Source organism: Homo sapiens, chromosome 1 (assembly GCF_000001405.40).
Source record: "Homo sapiens chromosome 1, GRCh38.p14 Primary Assembly".
NCBI lineage: Eukaryota > Metazoa > Chordata > Mammalia > Primates > Hominidae > Homo > Homo sapiens.
In genome coordinates this window covers 78,233,155-78,254,377 of record NC_000001.11, presented here as the reverse complement: position 1 = coordinate 78,254,377, position 21,223 = coordinate 78,233,155, and the positions used below count along the sequence as shown (strand labels likewise).

The window sequence follows — 21,223 nt, the reverse complement described above, 5'->3', positions numbered from 1 at the left end:
CAAATGTATCCCAGAACTTAAAGTAACATTAAAAAAAAATCCCACTTATTAGTGCATAGTTTTGTAGGCCATAAGTCCAGCATGACATGGCTAGGTTCTCTTTAGCATCTGGAAGGCAATGAGTGTGTACCCACTGACTGAATACTTACTTTTCATGTATGCTATTGTTTCTCTCCCTCCTTGACCCTAAGGATCATTACTGTCTTGATTTCTGAAACCATTGATTAAGCGTGACTATTTTGATTCAACATATCATGTATACTATTTTCAATTTATGTCACTTTCTACCAGAATTCTAGGATTATCCCCAAGATTTCCCTCTTCTTCCTCTGGTGTACATGCTCCACCTAATCCCCCAGATTGGGAGTTTGATGGATTTGCCCCCCAGGATTAGGTCACCTTATATGGCAGAGTTAACTTTAGAAAGGGAGATTATCCAGGTGGTCCTGACCTAATTGCATGACCCTTTTAAAGGCAGAGTCTTCTCTGGCTGGCAGTAACTACTAAAAAAATGGGGACCTCAATACTACAAATGCAAAGGATTGAATTCTGCCAATAACAAAAATGAGCTTGGAACTGGACTTTTCCTTCAGAAAAAAAACTTTCCTTCAGGGAAAAATTCAGCCAGGCTGACACCTTGATTTCAGCCTCATAAAATGCTAAATAAAGGGGATTCCATGATAATCAAGACAAGGACTCTGTCCTCATAGAGCTTAAAAACCTATCAAGGAATAGCCAGGTGTGGTGGTGTGCATCTGTAATCCCAGATACTTGGGAGGCTGAGGCAGGAGAATCTCTTGAACCCGGGAGGCGGAGGTTGCAGTGAGCTGAGATCGTGCCCCTGCACTCCAGCCTGGGGGACAGAGTGAGACTCCATTTCATCTCAGATGAGCCTGGGCAATACAGCAAGACTCCACTCCATCCCATCTCAGCTGTCTATGCTCTCAAAGCACTTCTGAATAACACCAAAGTAATCCATATCACATTGTCCCAAAATTGCTTATTCATACATTCATCTCCTCACTGTTTTGAGCTTCTTGAGGAGAGACACCATGCATAGCACTTGGCACATGGTAGGAGGCAACAACAATATTCACTGAACGAACTGAATGAATAAATACTGATGCCTTAAGAGGCAATGAATTCCTGCCTTACAAATATTTAAACAAAGACTAGACAATCATTTAGTGGGAGATGCAGAGAGAATTGAAGCATCTGATTACTGGACCTGATTACTGAGTAGGATTCTCCAAACCTGAGTTTCCTTGGGACTAGATGAAGAAAGCTGGGAAATGAAAAGTCACAGAGAAGAGAAAGTGCTATGTTCGAGGAATAGCAAGTGGCTCTTTTGCTTGGACAAGAGAGGACAGGATGGAGACAGGATTCCAGCAAGAAAGAGGTGACACACCCAAGAAAGTAAAGGGAAATTATTGAATAAATCTGTTCTTTAAGAGGAATGGGCAAAGTAAAGTATCCACCCTGGGATGCCAAAGCCAACAGAGATGAGCAACAGCATGTGGCTATTTCCACCTATGGATCTGAAGGGGCAAAAGAAGTGGAGTTACCAGAACCCTGTGAAAGAGGGGTTGCTTGATGTGAGTCATGGCCTGGGTAGAGAAACAAGACTTGGTTACTGCCAGAATCAAGGACTGCCAGGAAGAGAGGGGAGGAATAAGTATCCAGACATCCACCTCCCTCTGTCAGTGGCCAAACCCAGTGAAAAGCCAGAGTGAGGAAGCCCCAGTGAGGCATGTAGAAGCCAAGCCCCCAAATCCCACAGCAGGGCAGAGAATGCACCTGAAGGGTCCAACGGAGTGTAAGCAGCACAGATGGGGAAAGGGAAGCAGAGCCCGACTATACCAGGTCTCGAGGGGCAGGTGAGGGGCTTGAGCACCATTCAGTGAGCCCTCAGTAGCCTCTGCAGAGTTTGAGGCATGACCCAGGCTCTTCCTGAGGATGACTAATTTAGTGGCTGTCATCAGAATGAACTCTGAATGAGAAGAGACAATAGAAGGCAGGGAAACAATCTAAGAAACCACCAAAATGGTTGACGCGGAAGGTGAGGTGCCTAAAGGAAGGGATGAGCTCGTCATCGCTCTCAGCCACTCACAGGCTTCTCGTGCCCCAGCAGCTTGTTGCTTACCTTCCAGGTGAGCAGGGCACAAAGTCCTGGGGGTGGAGAAGCAAGCTTTTCTCTACACTGGGAAAACACGTCTGTTGTTTAACTTTTTAGGCTCCCACTGATGTTCACTTCACCTCCTTTCCTCTGTGGCTGAAATTACACTGAGCATTGCCAGCAGAAAGGAGCAGCGGAGGCTGAAGGTCACATCTGGAGCAGAGGGCAGTCACTGAGTTGCTTAGCACAAGAAGCCGCTAAACGGATAGAGACCCACAGGGAGAAAGCTCTGCTTGATTATCAGTAGCCACTTCCTAAAGATTCTGATGTCCTGATGCTTTTCTACCCTCCTCTTCCTCACAGTGACCAAACCATCCTTCCTACCTTGCCCCTTCCAAAAACTGTCTTCCTTGGGCCTCATGTCAACGGATTTCCTTGGGACTCATTTTCAGGCTTTAAATCCAAAGTCAATCTGACAACTTTATGGGCAACTAGACCAGCACAGAGATGACCAGAAGATTAATATTGTTCCATGAAGCTTTCTGCTTCTGCAAGAGTACATCCAGACTTTCTTCTTCCATTACCATTGCTCTTGTCTCCATGGAAGCTACGTCGCACAAAGTGGGCACAGGCATCGGTGGACAGAGCCAGAGTGACCGCCTGGTAGTGCCCTTCATCAGGTAGATAGGAAATAGCTCCAGCTGTATTTCTTGTTTTCTGTTCAGAATAATAGTCTTTGGTTGTATTGGTATTATTATAGAAAGTTTCCTGAAAAAGAAAAAGCAGTTGCTGTTTGAGTTCTCAGCTGTTTTCTGATACACTATGCAACAAGGCCTCATTTGATTGGGATTTACATCTTATTTTCTTCACTGCTTCATGAAAAGCTTAGCACCAGTAAGAGGATTATTTACAACATGATATTGCTGAGGCCTGGAGAGACTTTAAAGATTTGTCTCTGAACAAACTCTTTGCCAGGCTTTTCAAGATCAAGGTGCAGAGGGAAAGAGCGTCCAAAAAAAGAAAAAGGCTGAATTACCACACACTTAGAAGTTCTTCCCATACTTGTGGCATTACCATTTATCATCAGCAACATGAATCAACAAATCTCAATAAATAAGTTTCTATTTCAGATTAAAGGGTGAAATGATACAAAACAGCAACACCAAGCATGTCACACACACACAAACACACACACACACACACTCTCTCTCTCTCTCTCTCTCGCTCTCCCTCTCTCTCTCTCCCTCTAACCTGTTCTAAAGCAGTCCTCCTCCCATGATTGGAAGCCACATTCCAACTGGAGTTCTTACAACAAATAAAGTGTTTACGAGAATCTTCCCCACTAGCCCCACATCTGCCAGTCTGTCCACTTCCAAGGACAACAAGAACACCAGTCAACCAACCCATGGGCTTTTGCTTAGACTCAGGGCTGTGGAGGAGACAATCAGACACCCCTCAATGGAAAATAGCAAGGCCAGTTGAAGGCCAAAGTGGCAAGAAACCACTTGGAAACCATGTGTGTGTGCCCTGAAACAGTAAATAACATTGTGTGAATTCAGTCATTCATTCTGTTTATGAAGTCGGCACACAATTATTTATCTTACTACAGATGTGTTTTTAAAAAACAATTTTGATGACAGAATAAAAAACCACTTTCTTTAACCCTCCCAATTTTTGTTCCTAAATCTGTTTTCTGTACTAAGAACTGCACAAATGATTTGCATTGTTATTCTGATGTAATCTAAATCTCTTTTCTATAACTAGACTGGTTTCTTGTCTTTCAAATAGACACATGACAGCTGCTTTCCCAATAGAGCCCTGTGCAAAAAGGGGAGGTGCAACCCAAAGAGGGCCGGCAGCTGGAATTTCCCCAGTGTGGGTAGGAGACCTGGCAAGCTACGGGCAGATGGAGAGGACTACGTGGACAGACAGGACCCATGCATTGCTGTGGCCATCACTCATGCAGCTGCTCTTCCTTCTATCTTCTGAAGGGTGGCTCTTGGCTGCTGGCTTCACTTTCAGAAAGAACCCCACTTTTGCAAGCCTCGAGGATCAGCTTCTACTCTTGCATCCATTTTCTTGAGCAAAAAAAGAAATGAATCAGTATTAGAAAGCTCTGAGAACAGGGAAAAGTGAGTAAACAAACTTATTTTTTCCTCTGAATGGAACATAAGTTCTTCATGGGCACAAGCATAGTATAGATGGTTCGTTGTAAACTATTGATATAATATTAAAATAACCCAGTTAGGGGCGTAAAGGGCTTCTTTTTAAATCAAACCCTCCCGGAACTGGGGAGGAGGAGAATACCAGGATCTGGACTTTTTTGTTTTTCAAGAAAATATTGTTTTGGGTTTTTTATTTTTGTCAAAAATGTCACTTTTCTGACTGTGAAATAAAAAAGGTCTATTTTTTTCAGCCTACATTAAGCAGTTCAGCTTATGAATATGAATGGCCTCTGGTGTTGTCATTAGAATGAGTTGTTTAGTGTACAGTACTCAAAGACAATATTCTCAAACCATTATAAGCAGGATTTTTTCATTCTTCATTCAAGTAAACATGTATCAACTAGCTTCTATGGGTCTGGTATGGGCAAGGGATATTCTTTGAGAATCATTTTCCAGGTAGAAGTTTATAATGAACCCCTACTTTTACCTCACCAATTAGTAATGGCACGTGCTTGAAAAGCAACTGTCCAGGATCTCACCTATGTGATCTGCACATTCAGAACGGGGAGCACTAACTGGCATTAATGTACATAGGAGAAAACATATAGCACAGCACTTACACACACAGACTCTGAAGCTAGCTGTCTGGGTTCAGTTCCCACCTCTGCCACTTGCTAGATCAATTAGAAAAACAATTTCTCATTCAAGTAATAATACAAACAATTTAGATAAGGACTCAGCACATAGTAAGGTACTCTACTAAGTGTTAGTTATTATTAAGAGCCTGGTTTAACGGGGCTCTAAGCCACCACCCAGAGAAATCACTGAGAACCCAAGGCCTAGCCTTCCTCCTACTGAAGAGTCATTCCCTCCACTCCCCACCAGCCCTGCTGACGCTGCCTGTCTTGCTAGTGATGCCACCCTAATAACATGAATGCCTTCACCACTGCCTTCTCCAGCCTCTCAAAGTTGCCCTCTCAGTCTCCTGAGTTGATCCTGTGGCTCTCTCAAACAGAAGGGAGGATTCTCTTTCCATCATTGTTGTAACTTTTTACCAGACCTTTAAGTGTGACCGTGATCTCTCCATTTTTTAATAAATCTCCCATAAAGGGTAGCTTACTCTTTTAGTTTCCTTCAGAACTATCTTCCAAATAACTCAAGAAAAGCAACCCCCTCAGCAAAGTCAGAAAATATTTGAATGGCAGCTTAAATAACCTGCTCAACAAGTCTCTTCCCACTGATTATGCTACTGTTCCACCGAGGTAGTTAGGCATCTTGATCTCGCCCTATACGTATCATTATACTTTTTGTACAGTAGTACCCTCTTATCTGTAGTTTCACCTTCCAGTTACCTGTGATCCAAAGACAGATGGCTATAGGCAAACCTCACTTTATTTTGCTTCACAGATATTGCATTTTTTTTACAAATTGAAGGTTTGCAGCAACCCTGTGTTGAGCAGTCTATCGGCACCAATTTTCCAACAGCATGTGCTCACTTCATGTCTGTCAGCACTTTTTAAGAATAAGCTTTTTTTTTTTTTTTTTTTTTTTTTTTTTTTGAGATGGAGTCTCACTCTTGTCTTCCAGGCTGGAATGCAGTGGTGTGATCTGGGCTCACTGCAACCTCTGCCTCCCAGGTTCAAGTGATTCTCTCACCTCAGCCTCCCAAGTAGCTGGGATTACAGGTGTGCACCACCACACCTGGCTAATTTTCATATTTTTAGTAGAGCCAGGGTTTTAGCATGTTGGCCAGGCTGGTCTTGAACTCCTGACCTCAGGTGATCCACCCGTCTCAGCCTCCCAAAGTGCTAGGATTATAGGCATGAGCTACCACGCCCAGCCAAGAATAAGCTATTTTTTATTAAGATATGTATGTTGTTTTTCTAGACAATAAGCTACAGTGTCGCGTAAACATAACTTTTGTATGCACTGGGAAACCAAAAAAAAAAAAAAGTGTAACTCACTTTACTGAGATATTTGTTTTATTATAATTGTCTAGAACCAAACCTATATCTCCAAATATGCCTGTACAGAAAATAAGATTTTAAAAGACAGAGATCACATTCACATAACTCTTAATATAGTATGTTGTTATAATTGTTCTATTCTAGTATTAGTTATTGTTGTTAGTCTCTTGATGTACCTAATTTACATGTTAAACTTTATCATAGGTATGTATGTATAGAAGAAAACATAGTATATATAGAACTCAGTACTATCCTTAGTTTTAGACATCTGGTGAGGGTCTTGGAAGTGGATCCCCAAAGATAAAGAGAGACTATTTTATATCCCCACACATACCTCACATCAACACACACAAGCATACACATGCACACACACACACACAGCCTTGCATAACACCTTACTGGAGAATTTTAGTCTCCTTATCTTGAGGATCAATCAACAATTCCAAATTTTCTTTACCATATTTTCAGGACACCTATCAAATTCTCATGCAAATAGAGCTCTGAAGTCTGTTAGCCCCTGTCTGGGACTACATATAAGACTTCCTTAATCCTGTGTTTTTCCTGATGTTTACCTGTTAGCATTTCTTAAATGGTGATCAGGAAACATTGACATCAAAACCACCTGAGCAGTCTTGTTAAACATTTATATCAGCTGGGTCAGAATCTCTGAGACCCTAATTAGGACGGCTATTATGAAAAAGTCAAAAAATAACAAATGCTGGCAGGGATGCAGACAAAAGGGAACTCTTCTACACTGTTGGAAATGTAAACTAATACAGCTAATTAGGAAAATAGTACAGAGGTTCCTCAAAAAACTACACAGAACTACCGTATGATGTAGCAACCCCTCTACTGGGAATTTATCCAAAGGAAAGGAAATCAATATATTACAGAGACATTTGTACTCCCATGTTTATTGCAGTACTATTCATAATAACTAAGATGCAGAATCAACCTAGGTGTCCAACAACAGATGAATGGATAAAGAAAATGTAGTATATATACACAATGGAATACTATTCAGCCATAAAAAAGGATGAAATCCTGTCACTCACAATAACATGGATGGAACTGGAGGACATTATGTTAAGTAAAATAAGCCAGGAACAGAAAGTTAAACATCACATGTTCTCACTCATCTGTAGAAACAAAGAAAAAGTTGATCTCATAGAAGTAAGAAGAAAAACAGGATACTAGAGGCTGGGAAGGGTAGGGGGAAGGGGGGAATAGGGAGAAATTTGTTAAAGGATACAAAACTTCAGCTAGAAAGAAGTACATTCTAGTGTTCTACACCACTAGGATGACAATAGTTAACAATAATATGTTATGTAGTTTCAAATAGCTAGAAGAAGGATATTGAACACTCCCAACACAAAGAAATGATAAATGTTTAAAATGATGGATATGCTAAGTACCCTGATGTGACCACTGTACATTATATGTATCAAAACATTGCTACGTACCCCATGAATATGTACCAATATTATTTATCAATTTTTAAAAAAATTAAATAAATATTTTTTAAAAAACAAAACAGAAAAGAATCCCTGGGCATAACAGTCAACATTTTCAATTTTTATAAGATCTACCTTAATATACTCTGAAGTTTGAAAACTACTGTTCTACATCATTTTGAAATATATATTGTTTTGAAACAAACATTAACTGCATTAACAAGCATTATGTGTCTATCTGATCACTTAAATTATTGGAAGCAATTACAGTGATATTGAACATAAAATCCTGTATGCCATCCTTTATTATTTAAAACATGCTCCATCACTAAGGTGAAGAATGTCTGCAAGGCAGGAAAACCTCTGGTCTCTGGAACCAATGAGAACAAGTCAAAGAATTGGTACAAATATACAATTGAAGCCCCTAATAGCAAGTCCAAACAGCCTCTCAGTTAAGTACATGAGCATTGCAGTCAGCAAGACCTGGATTCAGTTCCCAGTATGGCCACTAACTCCTTTTGTGACCTTCAATTTTCTTAACCAGTCTGTGCCTCGTTTTTCTTACCTGTAAGATTTAGGTACTAATAGAAAACATCTATTGAGATAATCATGTGGTTTTTGTCTTTGGCTCTGTTTATATGCTGGATTACATTTATTGATTTGCGTATATTGAACCAGCCTTGCATCCCAGGGATGAAGCCCACTTGATCATGGTGGATAAGCTTTTTGATGTGCTGCTGGATTCGGTTTGCCAGTATTTTATTGAGGATTTTTGCATCAATGTTCATCAAGGATATTGGTCTAAAATTCTCTTTTTTGGTTGTGTCTCTGCCCGGCTTTGGTATCAGAATGATGCTGGCCTCACATGATTATCTCAATAGATGCAGAAAAAGCCTTTGACAAAATTCAACAACCCTTCATGCTAAAAACTCTGAATAAATTAGGTATTGATGGGACGTATTTCAAAATAATAAGAGCTATCTATGACAAACCCACAGCCAATATCATACTGAATGGGCAAAAACTGGAAGCATTCCCTTTGAAAACTGGCACAAGACAGGGATGCCCTCTCTCACCGCTCCTATTCAACATAGTGTTGGAAGTTCTGGCCAGGGCAATCAGACAGGAGAAGGAAATAAAGGGTATTCAATTAGGAAAAGAGGAAGTCAAATTGTCCCTGTTTGCAGACGACATGATTGTTTATCTAGAAAACCCCATCGTCTCAGCCCAAAATCTCCTTAAGCTGATAAGCAACTTCAGCAAAGTCTCAGGATACAAAATCAATGTACAAAAATCACAAGCATTCTTATACACCAACAACAGACAAACAGAGAGCCAAATCATGGGTGAACTCCCATTCACAATTGCTTCAAAGAGAATAAAATACCTAGGAATCCAACTTACAAGGGATGTGAAGGACCTCTTCAAGGAGAACTACAAACCACTGCTCAAGGAAATAAAAGAGGACACAAACAAATGGAAGAACATTCCATGCTCATGGGTAGGAAGAATCAATATCGTGAAAATGGCCATACTGCCCAAGGTAATTTACAGATTCAATGCCATCCCCATCAAGCTACCAATGACTTTCTTCACAGAATTGGAAAAAACTACTTTAAAGTTCATATGGAACCAAAAAAGAGCCCGCATTGCCAAGTCAATCCTAAGCCAAAAGAACAAAGCTGGAGGCATCACACTACCTGACTTCAAACTATACTACAAGGCTACAGTAACCAAAACAGCATGGTACTGGTACCAAAACAGAGATATAGATCAATGGAACAGAACAGAGCCCTCAGAAATAATGCCGCATATCTACAACTATCTGATCTTTGACAAACCTGAGAAAAACAAGCAATGGGGAAAGGATTCCCTATTTAATAAATGGTGCTGGGAAAACTGGCTAGCCATATGTAGAAAGCTGAAACTGGATCCCTTCCTTACACCTTATACAAAAATCAATTCAAGATGGATTAAAGATTTAAACGTTAGACCTAAAACCATAAAAACCCTAGAAGAAAACCTAGACATTACCATTCAGGACATAGGCGTGGGCAAGGACTTCATGTCCAAAACACCAAAAGCAATGGCAACAAAAGACAAAATTGACAAATGGGATCTAATTAAACTAAAGAGCTTCTGCACAGCAAAAGAAACTACCATCAGACTGAACAGGCAACCTACAACATGGGAGAAAATTTTCGCAACCTACTCATCTGACAAAGGGCTAATATCCAGAATCTACAATGAACTCAAACAAATTTACAAGAAAAAAACAAACAACCCCATCAAAAAGTGGGCGAAGGACATGAACAGACACTTCTCAAAAGAAGACATTTATGCAGCCAAAAAACACATGAAAAAATGCTCATCATCACTGGCCGTCAGAGAAATGCAAATCAAAACCACTATGAGATATCATCTCACACCAGTTAGAATGGCAATCATTAAAAAGTCAGGAAACAACAGGTGCTGGAGAGGATGTGGAGAAATAGGAACACTTTTACACTGTTGGTGGGACTGTAAACTAGTTCAACCATTGTGGAAGTCAGTGTGGCGATTCCTCAGGGATCTAGAACTAGAAATACCATTTGACCCAGCCATCCCATTACTGGGTATATACCCAAAGGACTATAAATCATGCTGCTATAAAGACACATGCACACGTATGTTTATTGCGGCACTATTCACAATAGCAAAGACTTGGAACCAACCCAAATGTCCAACAATGATAGACTGGATTAAGAAAATGTGGCACATATACACCATGGAATACTATGCAGCCATAAAAAATGATGAGTTCATATCCTTTGTAGGGACATGGATGAAATTGGAAATCATCATTCTCAGTAAACTATCGCAAGAACAAAAAACCAAACACTGCATATTCTCACTCATAGGTGGGAATTGAACAATGAGATCACATGGACACAGGAAGGGGAATATCACACTCTGGGGACTGTGGTGGGGTCGGGGGAGGGGGGAGGGATAGCATTGGGAGATATACCTAATGCTAGATGACACATTAGTGGGTGCAGCGCACCAGCATGGCACATGTATACATATGTAACTAACCTGCACAATGTGCACATGTACCCTAAAACTTAGAGTATAATAAAAAAAATAAAAAAAAATAAAAAAAATTAAAAAAAAGAAAGTTGCCAGGCAAATTTTTGGAAAACAATTTAATAGTGTCTTGCCCCACTGTTTATAAAACAATATCTTTCTAAGCCAAAAAATAAAAGACAATTCCTGCGTAAAAAAAAAAAAAAAAAAAAAAAAAAAAAGAAAACATCATAGATTTATTGTAAGAATGAATCAAGCAAATGTAGGCAAGGTATTCAGTACAGTACACAGTAAGCCCAGTAAGTCATTATTTCTGATAAAAAGTACCCCCAGTGGGTTCCAAATAAACCAAACAGCTCTCATCTAAATAAAATCTTCAAGACTGTTAGCGAGCTGCTGGCCTGATGCCACTTTGCCTTTTTTCCAAGTACCTGGATACCTTGATAGTGTGATCTTCAAATCACGACAGAGCAAAGCAACATGAGTCCAAACAGCATTCTACCAGACAACTCCAGCCCTAGAGAAGAGTCAAGAAAAGGAGGGCAAAATCCAAAGAATAAACCATCTTCAAAGGTGGGACAGATTCACTCAATAGATATTCATAGAGCACCTGTACCAAGCGCTGTGTGGTGCTGGGAATGCAGCTCAGAACAGACTCTGTTCCCTTGTGGAGCTTATACCCCAGTGCAGGGAAGCAGATAATAAACAAGTAAATTAGCAAAATATAAAATATACAATATTGTCTGATGGTGAAATGTGCTATAGAGCAATAGAAAACAAGGTTGGGGGAAAAAGAGAGCCAGGGTGAATAATAATCAAGATAAAGCAGAAAAATCTATTACAAAAGATAAGGGAGGAGGAATTGCTTTTCCTTAATCTCTGTCATCCACTCAATACAGCACTTCAGACATCAGATTTGTGGGGGTTTTCCACACATGACAAGCAAGCAATTCTATAGCAGACACCAGCGAGTATCCTCTAATTCAATTCAATTCTGACACTGTCCACCTATAGATAGCGTCAGATCCTACAGGTTGAAGGCTCAGTACCACAAGACAGCCCCTCACTTCAGATACCAGTGGTAAGTAGTAGATTGTCACTATGTCTGACTGACTGGGTATAAACCAGGGTTCCCACAACCTGTTCCTTGGGTGCAATTGATTTGCTAGAGTGGCTCACATAACTCAGGAAAACACTTTATTTGCCCATTTATTGTAAAGATGCACAGGGCAAGGTATGGATCAAGTGGCATACCACCCTCCAGGAACCCCCACAAGTTGATCTATTAGGAAGCTCCCCAAACCCAGTCCTTTGGGCTTTTATGGAGGCTTCATTACATAGGCATGACTGGTTAAATCATTGGCTATTGGTGATCAGTTCAACCTTTAGCCCCTCTACCACACCAGGGGGTTGAGAGTAAGGGTTGAAAGTCCCAACCCTCTAATCATGCTTTGGTCTTTCTGGGTGACCAGCCCCATCCTGAGGCTACCTAGGGGCCCCCAGCTACCTCATTAGCAAACAAAAGACACATAGAGTGGTCAGGCATAGTGGCTTACTCCTGTAATCCCAACGCTTTGGGAGGCCGAAGCAGGAGAACCGCTTGAGCTCAGAAGTTTGAGACCAGCCTAGACAACATGGTGAAACCCCATCTCTACAAAAAATACAAAAATTAGCCGGGTGTGGTGGCATATGCCTGTAGTCCCAGCTACTCTGGAGGCTAAGGTGGGAGGATTGCTTGAGCCTGGAAGGCAGTGGTTGCAGTGAGCCAAGATCGCACCCCTGCACTGCAGCCTCCGTGACGGAGCCAGATCCTGTCTCAAAAAAACAAAAACAAAACAAAAAAAAACACCCAGACTCAGAACTTTTTAATTTCTCTGCCTTTTCAGTCATTCTACTGGTGTTATCCAGCACTCACTGTGCCCAGAGGTCTCTGTGGAAGAAGCAACTGGAAGGACCCCGGCCCCTCCAGGAGTTTACAGGCAGACCCAGAAACAAGGTTCAACCCTTTAGAGTGAAAGCAAGCAAAGGAATGAGCTTGCTCTGGGGTGTAACCAACAAGTGCAAGAGGGGACTAAGGGCTTCAAGTGATCCTGTTTGGAGCTACATTTTATTTTCATTATGAAGGCCCTTTGGAAGGAGTGAGGACAGAGATATCTGCGAGTCAGTCTGTGCAGCTCCTCGCTGCTGGGATAAGTTCTGGGTGAGACTGTGCTCTGGCGGCACAAAACAAGACCCCAAAGAAGGGCCACAGTATGAGCCCCACTGGCAGCTGCTTGCCACAGGGAAGCCAGTCACAGACAAGGTTATTAAAGTCCACACCTCCACTGCTGGATCCCATTTTTAAGATTGAAAAAGCAGAAAATTAGTGCCAATTTACAGGTCAGAGCTACCGAAAACTCAAATCATAATTAAGAAAGGGAAAATTATATTTACCGGGAAAAACAAATTGCCACAGAGGGAGTGCTGGAACAAGTACTAGGAACACACAGTGCCCATTTCATTCTTTTCTCCAGTCAGTTTAAGGGTGTTTTAAAAGCAAAGAGGCAGCAGATAGAGAGGAAGCTGAGGGAACAGTGCAAACACACAGAGGAACAAAACTGGAGGGGGAGCCTCATGACCCTGAGCCAGACATGGTCCAAATGGAATGCAGATCTGATCATGCTGCTCCTCTGTTTAAAACCCTGCAGAGGCCACCCACTCTGCTTTAAATAAAGCCCAAATTCCTTCATGCGGTCCACAAAGACAGGCAGAATCTGGTTCCTTGCCTGGCTGTATCTCACCGTTTGCCAGAAAGGGATATACTGGTTGGTTTAAGCCAGGCAGGATACACCACTGGAGCCAGACGTGGTATCCAGTCCATGCCAGATGCATAGCTGAGCAAAGCAGAACCCAACCTTAAAGACAAAAACTCAAGTCTGTTAAAGAAATTAAGAAATAGACACCAAGGAAGCAATCAACAAATACCCATTTTAAAGGTAAATCAACTTTCCAAAGCAGTGTTCAAGTTTTTCCACTATGTAAAAAAGTATTCCATCACTCCTGCATTGCTTAGAGAAGCTGTGATTCTTAGACTCAGACAGAACTGTGGAGATAGAGCCGAGTCTAACTCCCTCTTGTTACAGCAATTAAGGCATAGAAAAGTGAAGTAATCACCCCAGGATACACATCAGTTAGTGCCCTTGAAAAGAATAATACCCAATTGTTTTTATTTCTGAGCTAACACGCTCCTTCTAGTATGTCATTACTACACAACCAGGACAGAATCAAACCATAGGATTCATCTATTGTTATTCTAAAACATACAGTTTATTGGCAGACAGAGTATGTTTGTTGGGTTTGTAAGGAAGGGAGTAGGTAGAAAAGAATGAAAGAATGGAAAAAAAGAGCAGTTTTAATATCATTTTAACTTTGTTTTAATTCATAAACTTTCTTTTTTGTATTTTATTTTATATGTTTATTTTAGATTCAGGAGTTAGAGCTGCAGGTTACATGCGTATATTATGTAATACTGAGATTTGTGTTTCAATTGAATCTGTCACCCAAATAGTGAACATAGTACCTGATAGGTAATTTTTCAACCCTTGGCCTCCTCCCTCTCTCAGTATTTGGTTTTCTGTTCCTGTTAATTCACTTAGGATAATGGCCTCCAGTTGCATCCATGTTGCTGCAAAAGACATGATTTCATACTTTTTTATGGCTGCATAGTATTCCATGGTGTATATGGACCACATTTTCTTTATCCAATCCACCATTGATTGGGCACCTAGGTGGAGTCCATTTCTGTGCTATTGTAAATTCACAGAACTTTCTAATGCATTTACTAACACTAAAAGCAACAGCTTTTCTTACAGTTGAGAAAATGTGACATCCAGAACTTTGATAATAAGAATCCATATAGTAACAATAATTGGGCTTGTAAGTCCTGGTTCCTGGGCTGAAGACCATTTGGGGAAAAGAGAAGTTGTTGACTCTGCCCTCAGCACTGGTGTGCTTGGGATCTTCTAGGGGATCCTCATTTGGAATGGCTTTGAGGAAGCACTCTTCAGGGTACAGACAGTAAACACTCATGTTGGTCAATTTTCTTCAATCTTTTTTTTTTTAATTTTGCTTTAAGTTCCAGGATACAAGTGCAGAATGTACAGATTTGTTACATAGGTATACGTGTGCCACGGTGGTTTTATACACCTATCAACCCATCATCTAGATTTTAAGCCCCCACATGCATTAGCTATTTATCCTAATGCTCTCCCTCCCCTCGCCCTCGACCCCCCAACTGGCCCCAGTGTGTGTTATTCCCCTCCCTATGTCCATGTGTTCTCATTGCTGAACTCCCACTTATGAGTAAGAACATGCGGTGTTTGGTTTTCTTTTCCTGTATTAGTTTGCTGAGGATGATGGCTTCCAGCTTCATCCATGTCCCTGCAAAGGACATGATCTCATTCTTTTTTATGGCTGCGTAGTATTCCATGGTGTATATGTACCACATTTTCTTTATCCAGTCTATCATTGATGGGCATTTGGGTTGGTTCCATGTCTTTACTACTGTAAATAGTGCAGCAATAAACATACATATGCACGTGTCTTTATAGTAGAATGATTTATATTCCTTTGGGTATATACCCAGTAATGGGATTACCGGGTCAAATGGTATTTCTGATTCTAGACCCTTGAGGAATCGCCACATTATCATCCTCAATGGTTGAACTAATTTACATTCCCACCATATGTTGGTCAATTTTTTTAAATCACAGAGCATAATGTCTTCATCTATGTGGTCATATATGGCAGTATTTCCTTCTTTTTTCAACGCTGAGTAATATTGTATTTACGGTTGTCACTTGGTATCTACCCCAGATTGGTTCTGAGAGCCCCAAGGATGCCAAAATCCAAGGTTGTACAAGACCCTTATATAAAATGGCATAGTATTTGCATATAACCTAAATACATCTTCCGGTATACTTTAAATCATCTCTAGATTACTTTTAATAGCTAACACAAGGTAAATGCTACGTAAATAGTTGTTATACTGTATTATTTTTTATTTGTACTATTTTTATTTTGGGGGGATTTTTTATATACTACATTTTTCATCTGTGATTGCTTGAACCTGTGGATACAGAGAGCTAGCTGTATATACCACATTTTCTTTATCCATTCATTCATTGATGGGCAGTTAGTTTGTTTCCACCTTTTAGCTGTTGTGAATAGTGCTGCAACAAATACGAGAGTGCAAATATCTCTCTGAGATCCTGATTTCAACTCTTTTGGATAAATACTCAGAAGTAGGATTACTGAATCATATAGCAGTTCTATTAAAGGACAAATGAGGCATGATTCCACTCATATGAGGTATCTAAAATAGTCAAACTCAGAAGCAGAGAATAGAATAGTGGTTATCAGAGGTTGGGGAGAAGGGGAAATGGGGAGTTGCTAGTCAACAGGCATGAAGTTTCAGCTGTGCAGCATGAAGAAGCTCTAGAGATCCGCAGTACAACATTGTGCCTATGGTTAACGGTCCTGTATTACACACTTTAAAATGTGTTCCAAGGACAGATCTCATGTTAAGTGTTCCTACCATAACTTTTTTTTTTTTTTTTTTTTTTTTGGTAAATCATAAAGCAACCTGGGCTCTAGGGCCTGTGAACTCTCAGCCAGGTCACAAAACTGCATTTCATATTCAGGGCCGAACAGCTAGTAAGAGCCAGTTATGGGCGTGAGAAGAATGAATCAAAAATTGGCAAATCTTCCCAGTGGCCTGGCAAGTCTATCCACTAGAAGTCACACCTCCTCCAGGTGAGGAGGGGCCAGTTCAAAGGCAAACAGCTCACTCAGAGGGAGTTTGTCTTAAGCCATTATTTACTTTAGTATCTCAGCAGGAATTAGTTTAGGTGAAGTGTGGCTCGCCTTGCTGCCCTGCCCAGATTCCTCCCTCTGGCCTTCCTCTCCTGCAGGCCTTCTTTTACCCTCTGGCCCAAATTCTCTTCCTAATATAAGTTGAATTGTGTGATTCTTCTGCTTAAAACAAACACTTTGACAAATTTAAATGTTTGTAGAATAAATCCGCCCTTGTTAACACCCATTAACACCCAATAAACCCCCCCTTGTTAACCCATTAACCTTTGTTTGAGGTCCAGACCCCCTACCCATAATTCATGCTGTGCTCTCATCCACCAAACCACAGAGGCTACCTCCCAGGTCACCTTCACTTTCACGCCTACCTACTCTTATTCTGGCTGTTTTCTCCACTGAGAGTCCTTCCCTGCCTTAACTGTAGAACAAAGCTTGACCAATTTTTAAGGCCCAGGTAAACATTATCCCTCCTCTCAATTTTCCTCCATAGTTTTCCTTTTCACATCCCATACCTCCCCATCCAAATATAACATTATGTTTCAGTCATTTCTTTCCTTTTGGTTTCCTACAAGGCAAGAACTGTATTTTACCCACCATTGGGTTGCAAGCCATTGTGCAGACCAGATGCCCAACTAATGTCCATTAAGTTGGATTGAATTATTTAATATCTGTCTTGCTTCAAGCCAGATTCAAATCACACCTTCTTTCAGAAGTCACCCTAAACTATCCTAACTGTAGCCTCAGCCAATGTCTTCAATCAGTCTGATTCCTCCCTCTCTTAACTCCAAATCTACAAGTGCAGCTCCAGATCCAAATCCCAGGACCCAGTATGAACTGAGTCACCCAGACCAAGTAATTCCAGCCCACATTCCAGAGCTCAGCATCAAGTCACCCTTGCCAATCTCACATTTACTTATTAACTTATTTAAAAAACATCTGAAAGCCTACTTTGCACCAGACCCTATATCAGGCGCAAAAGAAATAAGGATAAGGAAGTTAAGAGCCCTGCCCTCAGGGAGCCCACAGTCTAGTTGAGGAAGGTAAGAGGTGAACAACAACTCTGTTGCAAATCCTTTATCATATCTTGTTCAATTCGCAGTCTCTCTGCTCCATTTCTTGTTCTTGGGATTCTTTTTGCCTTGATTCCTGTTTCAGAAACTCCAACTTTCTTTTCAGACAAATCTTGCAATCTCACTACCAGGACAAAAGACCTGTCTCCAGATTTTTCTTCAGTACAACCAGACTTCCTACAAACTACTCTTTATGGAGTAAGGAAAAGCCAATTTCTTCACAGGATTTTTTATTTCAGGACTCTCCAGCATGTCTCTGAAATCTGGAATCTAATATGAATTACCCAGTGTTCTTTAACTTTAACATATATAAGATTCTCTAAAATCCTATTTAAAATGGATGTCCTCAGAGTCTATTCTCAGATATTCTAGTAATCTGTATTTATTACAAGCCTTCCAGGTGATTTTGAAGCATGTGGTCCAGGAAGTTTGCAAAACACCATCTTAAGATCCACAGGTGCACTGAGTCTTGGAAAAATCTACACTGTATCTTACCCTTCCCCACCACTACCACCATAGACTTGGACCCTAAAAACCTTCAATGGCTGGGCTAATCCTCCAAGTCTCCTGCCAAAGGAAGTGTAATTTAGACAGTGAGGACCTACTGTGCATGACTGCCTCAACTTTTGAATATTACCATTCCCAAACTCCCCACCATTGGTCACTGTCCTGGTGCTTTATCTTGACCTTTTTGCCAGTTACTTGCTAGGGATCTGATCTATTTCCATTACCACTGAGACACCATGTTTTGCAAACTAATATCTAAAATTCTGTTATTCTTTCATCCCCCTGTCCACCGTCCCTACCTAGATAGGTTTTGTTCCTGTTCCAGCCCTTCCCAACTACCCATTCAAGTGTAAATTATCAACTGTGTCTGCTCAAATCCTCAAAAATCCCAGCCCATGGTCATATTTTATTCATCTGAAATACTACAGCACCAATACTATGTCACTCATTGACACTTGTTATACTTTGTCCTGTTACCTATATCCTATCTCTCCAGCTAGACTGTAAATTAGTATTTGTAGATTAAATAATCATAAATGCCCTAGCTGGGAGGATTAAAAAAAAAAAAAAACAAGAAATTTATGATAACGGTAAAGGTCTAGAGGAACTCGTGTTGCCAGAAAGGTCAGGCTTAGAGGAGATACTAGAGTTTGTATTGAGTCCTCAGAAGAAAGGGTATTTTAACCATCATGATAATATTTCCCATTTATCGAGGGCCAATTATTGGCCAGGCTATGCCTGCTATATTACCTGTCTTTCCTCTAATCCTCATAACCATCCTTTGAAGAAACTGAGGTTCAAGGAAGTCCTCATATTTCCAAAGTTGATACAGCCAAAAAATGAAAGTGCTGAGATAATAACTCAGCCCATGTTCTTACTGCATGGTCCAAAGTACCATGGTCTTTCCACTACACTACAAATCAAGGAAACAAGTATCACCAGCTCCTCAATTTTGCCAGAGCTTCCTCATCCCTAAAAAGTTCTCATGTCACTTGGAAGTTTCCAACAAGTTCAAAAATGTATAAGAAAGAAAAAGCATTTTCCTAGAAAAATTAGGGAATAAAATGCAGTTAGGTGTACAAAGCAAGAAGGGAAGTTTTTCTGCCCAACAACAGTGTTTATTCCTCTGCTCAACTTTGTGGTACTAAACACAAAGCAAAACAAACTCTGGACATTTTAATGTTGTTTTCTTATTGGAGAATCTGACTTTTACTTCATAGGACAGGAAAACAGACCACTGAGCAGACTGAAGCATGGGGGCTCCTTCTAATAAGACTTTATGGCTGAGCTGAGCTTCTGTCGGTTCTGTATCAGCCTAAAAGATCCCTTGGCCCCTCTCCTAATTGAAGAGGCTGTTCCCAGCATGAACACTGGATAAGCTGCCCACGGCTTGGAGCCATGCTAGGCAGAACACCCTCATGGCTTCCAGGCAGCTTCATTGGATGCCAAGAATTAATTAATTGATGCCAATGGGGTTATTATACAGGCTTGGGACTAGAACATCATAAAGACAGGAAGCAGATGCAGCGGAGCCACAGACCTCACACTCCCTGGCACTCCAGCTGCTGTCTGGAGTATTGGTGAGTGCATTGGGTTTGGAGTCAAAAGCTCAATTCTGGGTCTATGGGGACTTTGCATCTTGCTAACCTTTCTGAGTCTAATTCCTTATCTGTAAATGAGAAGAATAATCCCTGCACTACTCACTGAACATGGCTTAATGAGGCTCAAATGAGGTATTTGTATGTGAAAGCTCTATAAAGACTATAAATGTTCCCTTGACGGCTCCCATAGCAATCTCTGCTTCCCTAACAAGCATTTATCATATTTTACAGTTATTACTTTTTTGTCTGTCTTTATCTTCTAGGCTATACATACCATAAAGACAGAGACTAGATCAATATTTCTCACCACTGTCTCCCAGTATCTACGAGAGTACTGGGCACTTGGTTGATGCTCAGTAAATATTTGCAAGATTAATGAATGGATGAATGAATGTAGTCCTCTACAATATTCATTTCTTTTGTGAAAATCTCATGTCATGGTAAGAACAAACCCCATGTCATTATCACTGTCTTAATTTATCTCAGTTACTTCCAACTTTATTTCACTTTATAACTAAAGCCATTCATCAGACACAGCTGTGGTACTCAAGAAGTATATAATCCACAGGGAATAAGTCATGTACAAATAAAAAATGAAATAGTAGCAAACAGAGTAAATGCCATTTCTAACAGATTCCTCTTTTTATTTCAACTTTTTTCAAAGACAATTTCTGGGGTAATTGCCAACATCCTAAAACTGTAAGTTTCCATATTTATAGGCCATGGACCTAGTATAACCAGGTAGACTATTTTAAATATAAATTCAATCATGTAGGAATTCCAGAGTTTTCTTTGTGGAGGAATGACTTCCTCAAAGCTCTGAGAACCAGAAGTAGACAACATGTGAGGTAATTAGACAGTATGTCGAGACCGGAAGTGTGGGGGTGGGGGGTGTTGAGGTTGCTTCTATAGATTCCAGTGAAACATTTTGTGGAAATAAAGAGTCAGACTCAAACTTAAAGGTAGGCTCTATCATTTACTAAGATTTTCATGCAATGAGAAGAATTGGAAAGCAAACACACAGCAGAAGTTCAATGCCCCAATATTTTTAGTACTTTAAAATTACAAATGTTCTTTTATCTGCTCTTAGGTGGAACAAATATGCAAACTAACCTAATAGCTTGAGCAAGCCACCGAGGGTTTCTTTCAAGGGATATTTTTCTCTGGGTCTACAGGGGAGCTAAGAACAAAGACGTCACGTAACACAGGGAAGCTTGGGAACACTTCTAGCAAGGAAGAGTTGAGTGATGTCTTTACCGCTATGGAGAAGGGTGAACAGAAGAAGGTGAAATGATGAAAACAGCAAGCTGGCTGGTCTAATAGAAAAGCCTTCTCTTTTTGATATGCTAGAAGGAATTGATCAGCTATTGAACCCTGCAGTAGTTAAGTCTGAAAGAGAGATTTTAGAATTCCTTAATCATTTCTAA

General features: G+C 40.6%; 1 long non-coding RNA gene across 1 annotated transcript in view, besides 1 other annotated feature; it reads right to left on the bottom strand.

Moving 5' to 3' along the window:
- MGC27382 (uncharacterized) overlaps nucleotides 1-21,223 on the bottom strand; it is a 139,866-nt gene that overhangs the window by 115,087 nt on the left and 3,556 nt on the right. Inside the window, exons 2-3 of the long non-coding RNA NR_027310.2 lie at nucleotides 4,005-4,194; nucleotides 2,501-2,884 (exon numbers count right to left, since the gene is read on the bottom strand). This is a non-coding gene — a long non-coding RNA (uncharacterized MGC27382). The remainder of the gene's footprint in view (nucleotides 1-2,500; nucleotides 2,885-4,004; nucleotides 4,195-21,223) is intronic.
- Nucleotides 16,314-17,227: an enhancer, noted in NCBI's record as "OCT4-NANOG hESC enhancer chr1:78702835-78703748 (GRCh37/hg19 assembly coordinates)". NCBI's record gives its function as "activates a minimal SCP1, AML or CMV promoter by ChIP-STARR-seq in naive and primed H9 embryonic stem cells {active_cell/tissue: H9 hESC(naive and primed)}" and the evidence as "EXISTENCE:reporter gene assay evidence [ECO:0000049][PMID:30033119]".